General features: G+C 34.7%; 1 protein-coding gene across 1 annotated transcript; it reads left to right on the top strand.

The window, feature by feature from the left end:
* On the top strand, positions 1 to 13,635 carry IL13RA2 (interleukin 13 receptor subunit alpha 2). The gene is made up of 10 exons (NM_000640.3): positions 1 to 64; positions 315 to 441; positions 1,796 to 1,947; positions 3,043 to 3,196; positions 3,728 to 3,848; positions 6,789 to 6,973; positions 7,951 to 8,096; positions 9,541 to 9,685; positions 12,302 to 12,420; positions 13,511 to 13,635. The coding sequence occupies exons 2-10, from the start codon at positions 348 to 350 to the stop codon at positions 13,535 to 13,537; spliced, it is 1,143 nt and encodes a 380-aa protein (NP_000631.1). The 5' UTR covers positions 1 to 64; positions 315 to 347; the 3' UTR covers positions 13,538 to 13,635.

Genomic DNA, 13,845 nt, shown 5'->3' with positions numbered 1-13,845 from the left:
CTTCCGGATGAAGGCTATTTGAAGTCGCCATAACCTGGTCAGAAGTGTGCCTGTCGGCGGGGAGGTGAGGAGCTACAAGGGTTTTTGCTTAGCTTTGTTTTTATTCTTGTAAGCAGGATGAGACTAGAATCCTTTCTTTCCAATTATATTGGTTCCTAACTTGATTATTTCTGTTTCCATGGTCTGAGGTGGACACAGTTTTCCCAGTTCTTGGTAGAGAAGCACACAGAGAGCTTTCCAAAGTATTTTTAATCACGTTTAGTTTGATTATTTGATGTAAGATAAAGTTAAAATGTTATATTTTTCCTTCATAGAGAGGCAATATCAAGGTTTTAAATCTCGGAGAAATGGCTTTCGTTTGCTTGGCTATCGGATGCTTATATACCTTTCTGATAAGCACAACATTTGGCTGTACTTCATCTTCAGACACCGAGATAAAAGGTAAATGGATTTTAATGGAATAGTTTTTAAATTAGGAAAAGTAAAATTAAATGGATTTTAATGGAAAATTAACTGTCTTTTTGACCTGCCTTATGGAAGTGCATAACTAACTAGTAGATGAATTGTTATTGAAACTATTTCAGGAAGTTCATGAAAAAAAGCTATGTTCTTACTAGTCACTTTCTTGTATAAGGTAACTGATGTTGACACACATTTTGTGCGATAAATGCCAAATTAAAAACACTCTCCATACCTTTTTGTATAGTCTTTTTTAACAGATTAAGTATCTGAAACCTCATTGCCTGGTACTAAACTAACTGGAACAGTTCCTTAATTACTATCCTTAGCTACTATCCTTAGCTTTTATGACAATTAGATACATTAAAAAGGTACAGAAATTTAACGTAAAATTTAAAAATAATTAGAATTATTTAATTTTTCAATTATATTATATTATTTAATATAATGTTAATGTTTTATTATTAATTAATTAAAATTATTTATAGTATATTATTATATTATATATTATATTATAATTAATATAATTAAATACATATATTTATATTATAGTGATATGTTAGTTATTATTTGTTATTATTTGTTGTTCTTATTTGTTATTGTTATTGTTAGACAGATTTTTGTAATAAAATGTTCCCATCTTAGACCAAATTCTGGCGTACATGAGCACAGAGATAAAGCCACATTGAATTTTTTGCTTCTCTAAAAATTAATACCTAGTGAGGCAAAGTCACATTTTGCATATGTGATTTCTCAAAGAAGGAACAACTATATAGCAGTAATCTAGATTTTTTTAACAGCCTTACTGAGATATAATTTACACAAAACTAACTCTTTATACAAAACTATATTCTTTAAAACTATACATGTATAGTAAAACTCTTTACTATACGTTGGTTTTTAGTATATTCACAAAGTTGTGCAACAATCACCACTATCAAAGTCCAGAATAGTTGCATCACCCGTAAAACAGCCCCTAAACCCATTAAGCAGTCACCCTGCATTGTTTCTCCCTCCAGCCCCTACCAACCACGAATCTACTTTCTCTCTCTATGAATTTGTCTATTTTGAAATTTCATAGAAATGGAACTATGTCAATATGTGGTCTTTTGTGTCTGGCTTCTTTCAGTTAGTATAATGTTCTCAAGGTTCATCCATGTTGTAGCATGAATCAGTACTTCATGTCTTTTTATGGCTGAATAATATTTGATTGTATGCATGTAGCACATTTTGTTTATCTGTTAATCAATTGGTGCACATTTGGAAGCCATCTAGATTTAGCAATATTTGTCATAAAATACAGAAAAAATAAAAGTGTTTTATTGATTTATTTCAGTTAACCCTCCTCAGGATTTTGAGATAGTGGATCCCGGATACTTAGGTTATCTCTATTTGCAATGGCAACCCCCACTGTCTCTGGATCATTTTAAGGAATGCACAGTGGAATATGAACTAAAATACCGAAACATTGGTAGTGAAACATGGAAGGTAAGTAAAGCATGCATTTGCCGTATCAGAGTGATCATCAGGTGTTACTTTGTGATTCCTGACTTTAGTGTCCGCTCCAATTCCCATATCTCAATAGTTCTAATTAGGATATAAAAAGCTTCCACACCCGCTTCTGTCTCCTATGCATCCTGCTATATCTGTTTTCACCCCATCCAGTGTTAAGATTGCCATTGGAAGAACAAGAAAAAAAACAAAAACAAAAACAAAAAACTCGGTCTCGTGCAATATGAACTTGAAGAGCAGCACTTCACTAGAAGAGCATTTCACTGTATTTTACAATTGCTTATATTCTTGGATGTGGGCCTTATACATGCTACTGACCTGTGACCTTTTCTACTGTAGGAGACAAGGCTTATTTATCTTTGTACCCTTCCCACAGAGGGTCGCAGGATTATGGTTCGTTGTATATATTGTAGTAAGAGCTCAATGAAAATGTTTTGAATTATTAACTACTTATATACTCAACAAGCATGTATATTCAAAGATTTCTGTTGTAGATGACATTCTGTTACCTCTCTAATTCAGCTAGGTAGTTTCAAGAGACAATTCAAATTGAGCATTTATTGATCAACTTTGTGCTGGGCACTCTACTAGGTATCAGGAATATATGAATAAATAATAAATGATTTTTGTCCTCCAGAAGCTCATGATTTGTCTGTATTTTTCTGGTTACTTCCAGGGTTTTAGTTTATGTATTTCTTGAAGGTTTCATATTATATTTTGAAATGTGGCATGATTTGCCAAGTAATGTGCCTATGGTATATGAAAATTATCTATTTGATTCCAAGCAGATATAGCTCAAGTTTCTGCCATAAAGTTTTTTTTCCCTTCCAAAAGTTTTTGTTTTTATTTGGAATTAGATGTTAAGATTCAAATGATCTCATAAAATGATATGACATACAGAGGTGAGCTCTGCTGGAAATGTATCTGTGGCATTGTATCAAATAGTCTCTAGGATTGTCTTAGATATTGGGAACTCTCCAGGGTATTAATGATTTATTAGTCTTATTAATATAGCTCACTATACCATGGAGGTTTCTAAGCTTGACTTTGTCTCATCTTTTTGTCAAACAGACCATCATTACTAAGAATCTACATTACAAAGATGGGTTTGATCTTAACAAGGGCATTGAAGCGAAGATACACACGCTTTTACCATGGCAATGCACAAATGGATCAGAAGTTCAAAGTTCCTGGGCAGAAACTACTTATTGGATATCACCACAAGGTTAAAACAAAGCTCTCTTTTCATATTTAATACTATCAGAACAATTCATTTGGGAATAAGTCCCTTAATCTTATGTACCAGGCTGTAGGCACAATAGATCCTGTGACAGTGTGGCACAAAATAGAATCTTTCTTGTAGTTGGTGATTAGCCTTTTAAAATTCTTTAAATCAGCAAATACCTTTGGCAAAACCTGTATATTATTTTATTGATTTAGTTCCCAGTTTTGGGGTCATATTAGTAAACATTCATGAGTATTTGCTCATCTGCTCAGAGCATCCTAGAATAATCAATTTACTACTTTTGCATATGCTTATACTAATATGAGTAAATGAGCCCTCAAATGTTTTTTGGTTTTGCATGTCCCTCTTATCGTGAAGTGATTCCCAGTAACTTCCTTTTGAAATAATCCTGTTATGTTGATTGCAAAATAAAATGGAGAGGTCATAGGAAATGAAGTAAAATTGAGAAATGATTTCACAAATGATTCATCACCAAGCCTTTCAAACATTCACAGTTGATTTGTTCCTTAGGAATTCCAGAAACTAAAGTTCAGGATATGGATTGCGTATATTACAATTGGCAATATTTACTCTGTTCTTGGAAACCTGGCATAGGTGTACTTCTTGATACCAATTACAACTTGTTTTACTGGTAAGTATTTTTATAATTAGAATTCCATATTAAAAAATGTCTACTCAAGTTAGTCGATAGTATGAGTAAACTATATTTTCACTAAGTTAAATTCATTATACTTGTCAGAGTTGTATTTATGATGATAATTGTTTACAATTATTTGAGGTTTTCAATGGGTGTAAGTGGTTTTAGGATGTAGATACTGGAAGGTATTCTATGGGTGATATAAGGAATGCAATAATTGTTTCTGTACTGGGTTAATTTTGTATCCTTTAGATAGATGAATTTAGAACTTAAACAATTTTGACATATTTTATATTCTTGTTTTTTTAAAAAATCAGTTATCTATTAAACTGAATTTTTTTCTGACTCCCTCCTTTGTTAACTGTCACTGAAGCTTTTAAACTTGGACATTGTGACTCGTGTATCTTCTTAATTTCTTAATTGTTTTAGGGTAACATGATCACCATGTTCTGATGCTCCTTTGCAAGGTTGCACATCTGTTAAGTACCTACCATCTCTACTGTAAGAGCTCTACTTTAGGCTTCCCTCATTCCACACCTGGATGATTGCCATTGCTTCCAAAATGACGGTCGCTCTGCTCCCAATCTCTCCCCTTCCAATCTCTCCCCTTTTTATTCATTCTGCACACTGTAGCCAGCTTTATCTTCCTATATTGCCATTTTCATATACCACTCTCTTGTTCAAAAACCTCCTGTGTCTACTCATTGCCCCAGGATAAAATCTAGGCTGCCATACTGTCTACTATTACCAATGTGAATGCTCCACTCAATTTAGATCCATCTCTACATTTTTTTCTCACCCGTGTTATTGCCTTTTATACCTTTGTTTGCATTACCTTCTGGAATGCCCTCTGGCTCTATCTTTCTTTCACCAATTTTTATCCATCTTTTTCAAGGCTCATCTGCTCCCCAGTTTCATTAACCTTTAACTGATCATGTCAGCTTCTGTTTTGTTTTTCTTGAGCTATTACTTTGTTTTTTTTTTTGTTTGTTTGTTTGAGACAAGAGTCTCCCTCTGTCACACAGGCTGGAGTGCAGTGGTGCCATCTCGGCTCACTGCAGCCTCCACCTCCTGGGTTCAAGCGATTCTCATGCCTCAGCCTCCCGAGCAGCTGGGATTATGGGCGTGTGCCACCACACCTGGCTAACTTTTGCATTTTTAGTAGAGATGGGGTTTCACAATGTTGCCCATGCTGGTCTCAAGCTCCTTACCTCAAGTGATCTGCCCACCTCAGCCTCCGAAAGCGCTGAGATTACAGGCGTGAGCCACTGCGCCTGGCCTTGAACTATTTTTTTTTATAGCCTGTAATTGTTTATTGTCCAGATGGCATTTAAATTTTTTCTCATATATGTGTGCTTTGTCTCCTGTTAAATTTTTAAGGGATTGGTGGGCATGAATTGTTTATTATATTTCTCTTGCCTACCTCCAAAGTACTATACCCGTAGTAGATTAGCACTAAATATTTATTACATAGCTGAAACAAGTGATAGCACTGATAAACTGATAGGTAATTATCCAAACATATGCATTTACTAAATAATGGAAAAATCAAGAGAGGACTAAGCATTACTATTGGTGAGTTCTAGTTCCAAATTATCATGGCATCTTTCTTTAGAAAATAATAATAGATAAATCATAAGCTATAAACTATTAACAATCCTGAGATCTGGGTTCTAATCCCTGCTCTAGCATCATTTAACTTGGCGGCCTTGGGCAAGTAATTTTTTCTTTTAGAATTTTTGTTTCCTCATCTGGAATTGGATAGGTAAATTTCAAAGATCTAAATTATTTGTTCATTAATTCAACAAATATTAAGCATCTTTTAAATGCCAGGCAGTGTTCTAGATAAAAAGGACAAAAGCATGAATAAGAGAAAGTCTCTGCCCTCCTGTACATTGTGGTTCATATTTGATATAATTTGATCCTCATCTTGGTGAAATAGGGAGGAATAAACATTAACATTTTAGAGATTGGAAAATAAAGCCTTCCCTGCTGACATCAAGTAAGTCTGTATGGAGTTAAGCCTGGAACTGAAGTCTCCCAAACTCTAATCAAGTGAACTAACCAAGAGACAACAATTTTGCAAACTCTCCCTAAAGTAAATAGTTGGCATAAGGTTAATTTAGTAGAGTCCAGATATGTGTACAGGCACCTTATCAGCTGCTACATTGGCCTCTTTTCAACAGGGATTTGACTGCTTTTACAGATAATGTCATGGTTTGCATTGCAAGCTATTCTTTAGGAAAATAGCAAGCATTTGTTGCTTTCGAATTTAGTAGGGAATCACTCCTAGTTCCTTTTAGCTTTATTACTGGAATAAGGTTAACTTAAAATGATATGGTAACATTTCTCATTTAATAGATGAGAAAATTAAATATTTACTTGCCAAACAACTCCTTCTTTTTCCTTTTGCCCTCCTACAGTTGGCTTTTCTGAGGTTTATCTCTTGATGTGTATTGTATACTCCAGATTTTCATTCATTTTATTAAACATAATATTTTCTAAGTCTGCTTTAAAATTTGCTTTCTTTTAAAATAACTTCCCCAGTAAAATAACTTAAAAGGCAATATCATGCAGGATTATTTGTACAAATCACAGGTTTTCTTACTAGGAATCTTATTCTTTGATTCACAAACCTTGTTGATGAATCAATATAACCTAAGTACACAAGTAAGAATCCTTGTCTTTGAGATTTTGCGAGGACTCCCAACAAATTGTAAGCTCCATGAAATCGGGGACTATGTCTGCTTTCCCTACTGTTTTTTCCCTATTGCTTATCATAGTGCCTGACATATAGTAGGTGCTTAATAAATATTGTACATTATTAAATGATTTTTAAACTGACATGGTATCCTAATATAATTGAAAATGAAGTGCCTTGATACTGGAAAAGATTGTTATTTAAACACAATTCTCACAACACTCATTTTACAGGTATGAGGGCTTGGATCATGCATTACAGTGTGTTGATTACATCAAGGCTGATGGACAAAATATAGGATGCAGATTTCCCTATTTGGAGGCATCAGACTATAAAGATTTCTATATTTGTGTTAATGGATCATCAGAGAACAAGCCTATCAGATCCAGTTATTTCACTTTTCAGCTTCAAAATATAGGTGATGTAAACCAACAAACAACTTCAAATTCATTGTTTCTAGTTTAGGCCATTTACAACCACTTGAGAGGGTGAGAGAGAGAAAAAGGGGAGGAAGGAGAGAGAGACATAGACAGAGAGAGAGACAGAGACCTATGGAAATGCAAAGACAGAAAAATGAGAGTCAGCAGAGTGTATGAGGTGGCGCTTATTAAATATTTAAGGATGAAAGATAAGAAATTTAATAAAGGTTAAAGTATCATTTTCATTTAGAACTCACAATTTTATTTTCCATCTTCAGTTTGTCTGCTATACAGTACTTTTGTCTAGTGTTAGTGATGGATTAATTATGAAGATACTTCTTCCCAGGCCTCAATAGACAAATGGCTGGATATTTATTGAGTCTATATTTTCAGTTCTAATGGTTATGAGAGTGATGGGTTCTAGAGTCTGCCAGACCTGGGTTTAAATCTTAGATCTACCATTTTTCTAGTCGTGTGACTTTGGGCAAGTTACTCTGTTTCAATTTCCTTAGTAGTAACATGAGGATAACAGAGGACCACCTGATAGGTTTATTGTGAGGCGTGAATGAGATTATTATGTAACATCCTTGGTACTTACAGTGTCTGAAATAGCATAAGCACTAAATAGGGTTATCTATTTGTAAAAGTAGTAGTATTGTTGATTGTGGTTGTTATTTCTAATGCTACAAAATGGAAAATTGTTGTAATGATTTGGGTCTTCGAACTTTTCTCTTGGATTTATATATTTGTCAGTGGGTGACTTGTCAAAAATGAGTTTCCAAAATAACCAAGTTTGTTAATAAACTCATCTTGGTTGGCAAGCAACTTTGATTTTAATACGTATCATAGGGAATATTACTGAGCCACTTGGTTTATCCCTGGAGGTTTCTGTTACCAGATGTCCCTAGCTTTGGATAAAGGCTACTGCTAAACTTCAACAATCTCCGTGTTGAAATGGTTCTCTTTTGCTTTTCAGTTAAACCTTTGCCGCCAGTCTATCTTACTTTTACTCGGGAGAGTTCATGTGAAATTAAGCTGAAATGGAGCATACCTTTGGGACCTATTCCAGCAAGGTGTTTTGATTATGAAATTGAGATCAGAGAAGATGATACTACCTTGGTGGTATGAATATTGCATTTATTTGGGAAAATCATAACTACAGCCTTTTAAATAAAATAGCAAATGTGAGAACCAAAATCAGTTGCATCCACGTGAGGGACAGAACATGACATATATCTTAGTTCAATTTCCAGAAAGCCAAATAAGCTAATGGACAAAAGTATAATGAATGATACCAATTTTAAAGTTACATAGGACCTTAGAGATTATCTAGTCACTTGTTTTCAATTTTGTGTCAATAAATTAAAGTTGGTGAAGGCTTAAGATGGATTGTGGAGAGGCCTCAAGTAAAAGCAAAACAAAATTAAAAAAAAAAACCCACAAAGACCACTTATTGAGGAACAACCATCAGGTCAAAATTACAGTATGGCAGGCTTACAAGAGAATTGCTTGTACCAGGCAAGAAGGGCTGCCTGGGGAATTAGGCAATGGTTGCAAGACTAATTACTGCCACCAGCACCAACAATGTGGTGATGCCTTTAATCACACATTGTTATATATTATTTTTCCTTATTAGTTTCCAGTTTAGAGAGTGGTAGAGAGAAGTTAGTGAGTCAGTAGTTCTAATTCATTCCTTTCATATACAGATAAGAAAACTGGTTGTTGAATTGATGTATAGATCCCAGGTATGTAAATTCACTTACAATCAAATTATGCAGCTAGAACTAGATATCAGATCTGGTTCCCAGTCCACTTAAGTCTACACTACATTATGTTGATTCCTAAGATAAGTTATGCCAAAGGAAAAGCTATTATATTGAATGAGAAAAATTCTTCAGCTCTTTGAAATGCAAAATTGAAATAATTGCTTCAGTGATTTTTTTACTCTGAGATCACCCAGCCTTGAGATAGTCTCATAACTGTAGCAATAGTTTCATACCAAGCCATGAGCACTGTTATACAGGTTTTGTTTCCTTATTCTTATTCCAAGCCCTGAGCATTGTTATGTAGGTTTTCCTTATTCTTATTAACAATCAGAATAAGGAAATAAGCATAAGGAAAAAAGAAAAAGCTATATATTAATATGTGAACTCTATAGTTTCCATAGTAATAACATTCACATGCTGGCTCTGTCTTTTGGTAACTGAGTGTATGTAGCATCTTCCAGTTCATAGAATCTGGGAAATTTGACACTAGTCCACATACTGGGTGTTATAAACACCAAGGCTACCTAGGAATTTTGCTGTCTCACACATGCTGTCCTTCACTGTAAGTGATCCATTATCACTGTAGAAATAAAATATAGATAAAGAAGGGAAGAAACAATGATTTTAAAACCCCCACTATACAGAGAGCTAATTACTGCTGGGATTATGCATCCAGTCTTTTGATGCATAGATTGCATAGATTTTATGTAATAAAACCCACTTTGAAAGGGACAGATATGGAATCTGTCTAGTTGCAACTAGATCAAATAATGGCATCTGATTTTGTCCTTGGCTTTCAGACTGCTACAGTTGAAAATGAAACATACACCTTGAAAACAACAAATGAAACCCGACAATTATGCTTTGTAGTAAGAAGCAAAGTGAATATTTATTGCTCAGATGACGGAATTTGGAGTGAGTGGAGTGATAAACAATGCTGGGAAGGTATGAGCTAAAAGGACAGTAACTAAATAATGAGCTCTTTGCTAGCAAAATTAATTTTCTTTTGGTGTATTTTGTAATTACAGAAGTGAAGGACTTTCCCATATAGTCTATGAACAGAGAGAATAAGTTAGGGAGCACTTCAATTGAATAAAGATTTATTAAAAGTCTAATATTCATTCAGTTAGGACTAGGAATATTGTTATACTTCTATTATCAAAATTCTTGTTTTTCTGTCAATATAGATAATATGCTCATTCTTTTGAGAGATTGGCAGGAACTTATTTTAATCAATATTTTCATATGCTTTCAGTATTCAAGAGAACAGAAATCTTAAAGCAAGTATAGATCAGCATACATTTGTTTCTGGGTGTCTAATACTATTCAAAAGGAATATTTTTCTAATTAAAAGGTCATGAATAGTAAAATACATATTCATTCCATTCACTTCTAACACTGATTTAAAGTGATTTGTGATAAAGTCATTTAAATTACATAGCAATATAAACTAAAAAGCCTAAAGAATGAGGTAAAATGTGATTGTGCTTCACAATGTATTAGCTTTAAGAGTAGAAATTACTAATAAATGTTCAAAATTGAAGGAAATCAACTCAGCATTGCTCTTTCAGGTACATAGATATAGATGCAGCTCTAAATAAATATACTGATGCTGATACAGACAGATACTGCCATATCTATCAATCATTCATCTCCTTTCATGTTGTTCTACTATAGTGGAATCTCTATTATCTCCCTACGAATACAGTGGTATCATTGATCCCTTTCATTCATCAAATATTTATTAAGCACCTACTATGTATCAGACTCTTTTCAAGCATTACAGATATGGCAGTAAAGAAATCTCTACCCTCAGTGAACTTACATTTTATTTCCAATTGGGTAGAGATAGGCAATAAACGAGAAGCCTAATAGATTATATAATCACTAAGGATTATGGAGAAAAAATAGCAAGACAGTGGAAAACTCAACCAAGAGCTATATGGAATCAGAAAGAAGACTTACTAGTTTTATGTTTTTCATTTTTGTTACTGTTTTAAAAAATCAGGAAACTCTAAAGTTATGTCCTGAACTATATCTCGTCATTAGTCAATGCATTGTATAAAGTGGTTATGGTGAGTTTTTAGCCATATCCTCAAAAAATATATTCTTTTCTGTATTTTACATGCAATCTTATCAATGATAGTGATGCCTAAGATTTCTCTTGCTTTGAGGGAAATCTTTTCCTTTTTTTGGTACAGAGTCTTGCTCTATCACCCAGGCTGGAGTGCAGTGGCATGATGTTGGCTCTCTGTCACCTCTGCCTCTTGGGTTCAAGCGATTCTCGTGCCTCAGCCTCCTGAGTAGCTGGGATTACGGGCATGCACCACCACGCCTGGCTAATTTCTGTATTTTTAGTAGAGACAGAGTTTCACCGTGTCGGCTAGGCTGGTCTTGAACTCCTGGCCTCAAGTGATCCGTCCACCTCGGTCTCACAAAGTGTTGAGATTACAGGCATGAGCCACTGTGCCCAGCCCTCTTCATAGAATCTTAATGACTTTGAAATTAGAAACAAGGAATTTCTTGAGTTGCATGTGGTCTCAGTTCTTTAGGACATTTCTTATTGGATGTTTCAAGTTATAGAAAAATAGGACAATAATATTTTTGGAAATAAAAGTATGTCCTCTTCAGGATTGACTCTGTATGGGGAAAGCCAGTAGAACTTCAGCAAAGGAGCTTCCTGCCTTCCCACTGTTAATTTTGCATGACAGATAACTTACATCAGTAATTTCTCTGGATTATATTCTTGTAAATCTTCTCTGAACACGTGAATTTGACTGATAATTTTCTAATAGAAAACAAGATCGTGAGGAAATAGGACAAAGAAAAAGGTGGGATCAAGAGAGCTTTGTAGATGCGTGGCTAAGATTCAAGATCTTTTATATTACTCCAAAACAAGTGAGAGGTACTAGTTTAGGGAGACCAAACTTCGTCTGCTTTTTAAGTTTGCCTAGTGATTGCTCATTTCTTGCTATGCAGAAGAACCATTAAAACTCCATCCCTAAACTAACAAAGCAAAATCAAAAAGAAAAGAAAAACCTTATCCCTCCCTTTGGTCTTTAAAATATGAGACAACTTTAAAAAGGTAACCTTAAAAGATGATTTCCATTACTCACACAGGAATTTTTATTGAAGGATACCTCTTGCTTGGTACAGTATCCTATGATCTAAGTACACGTTTGACTTACTGAGAGTTAAGAGACAGACACACAGGACATGTTTGTTTAATCACTTGGCTAATATTTTGTCATTTTTAAATGGAGAATTCACAAGGTCAAATATAAACAAACTCATATCAGGAAATAAGAATTGTGTTTGGGGAAGTTATTTTTCTAAGTGAAAATAAGACATGTCACAGTTCAGTAAAGTACTTTTCTATATAAAAATTGCACAAATGAAAGGAACGCTATACTCAAACACAATTGTGGTATTTATGCACTGGCAAATATGACAGGGGTTTCCAAGCTCAACTCAGTTCTGAAGTATTTATAAAATAATTCAGTTTCAAAAATAGTGGCAAATGTCTAACACTTCCCCTTTCCGTGTGATTTTTAATCCTAGGTGAAGACCTATCGAAGAAAACTTTGCTACGTTTCTGGCTACCATTTGGTTTCATCTTAATATTAGTTATATTTGTAACCGGTCTGCTTTTGCGTAAGCCAAACACCTACCCAAAAATGGTAAGATGTGTAACATTATGATGTTTAGCCTGAGAATAGGAGATTTTTAAAATGTTCTGCACTTAGAACTGATGGAGATACATTTTATAATTTTGCTTGTTCGCTGTGGGTGTACAATTGATTCCGTATGGATTATGATGTTATCTTCAGAAAATACAGCAATTTTTAAAAATTAAGCTTACAAGACTTCATTTTGAGGTGGATTTACTTTTGTCGAAATCAAACTTTAAACATGAAATACTATTTGGCCCTAGATTAGAGAATGGTATACGGAAAGAGTTACAAGAGAAAAGCAGGATTGGGAGAAATAGAAGAGTGAATTAAAATGATCATAGACTGAAACACATATTACCAGTGTGCCACAGGCACAAGAACACATGCAAATGATAAAGCATGGTGCCTGCCTTTGGAGCACACACTCAAGTTAAGGGAGACAGGATCCATACAAAAAAATATAACCTTTGAGATGATTTTAGATGATTGCCATTTGAGTCGTGCAGATAATGCTATAGAATTTCAGAAAACAATAGGACCACTCTGGGTTGGGGGGCTTTAAGGAGGAGTTGTAACCTGGAGAAAAATATCTTTTTGGGACAGGGTCTCATTCTGTCACTCAGGCTGGAGAGGAGTGGTGCAATCATGGTTCACTGCAGCCTTGGTATCTAGGGCTCAAGCAATCCTCCTGCCTCAGCCTCCTGGGTAGCTGGGACTACAGGCAGGCACCAACATAGCGGGACTCCATCTCTATAAAAAATTTAAACATTAGCCAGACACAATGGCTAATGTTTAGATTTTTTATAGAGATGGAGTCCCGCTATGTTGCCCAGGCTGGTCTCAAACTCCTGGGCTCAAGCAATTCCTCCCACTTTGGCCTCCCAAAGTGCTGGGATTACAGGTGCCAGCAACTGTGCCCAGCTGAGAAAAGATATCTCAATGCCATATCTTTTCAAGATAGAGAGAAAAGTGAATGTGTATAGAATGCTTCACTTTGTTTGCTGAATGCTCTTGTGCTTATTCTCTGAGTTGTTAATCTTCAGTGAAATAGTTTGTGTTATTAGAGATGACTTGTTAATAACAGAGTTCTTTCTAGATTCCAGAATTTTTCTGTGATACATGAAGACTTTCCATATCAAGAGACATGGTATTGACTCAACAGTTTCCAGTCATGGCCAAATGTTCAATATGAGTCTCAATAAACTGAATTTTTCTTGCGAATGTTGAATACGTCTTATTTTTAAATATTGTTGTATTTAAATAGGCTTTTGAGTACTCAAAGCCTCAGCTAGTAGTACATTTTCTGGATTCTATTAACAGTTTCTTTTCTCATAAATTCATAGTGAGAGTGCTGCACGTAGTTCTCCAATCAAGGTATGAGTCAGGTTTTATATTTATGATGTATTAATAAAACAATGTGACTTCACAGAT

The sequence above is a fragment of the Homo sapiens genome, chromosome X (genome assembly GCF_000001405.40).
Source record: "Homo sapiens chromosome X, GRCh38.p14 Primary Assembly".
NCBI lineage: Eukaryota > Metazoa > Chordata > Mammalia > Primates > Hominidae > Homo > Homo sapiens.
The sequence above is the reverse complement of the archived record's forward strand: the minus strand, read 5'-3'. Positions and strand labels throughout refer to the sequence as shown.

Coding starts and splice junctions, on each gene's coding strand:
- IL13RA2 (NM_000640.3), top strand. CDS start 348: ATGGCTTTCGTTTGCTTGGCTATCGGATGCTTATATACCTTTCTGATA. Junction 3,197..3,727: donor TTATTGGATATCACCACAAG/GTTAAAACAAAG, acceptor TTTGTTCCTTAG/GAATTCCAGAAACTAAAGTT. Junction 3,849..6,788: donor AATTACAACTTGTTTTACTG/GTAAGTATTTTT, acceptor CTCATTTTACAG/GTATGAGGGCTTGGATCATG.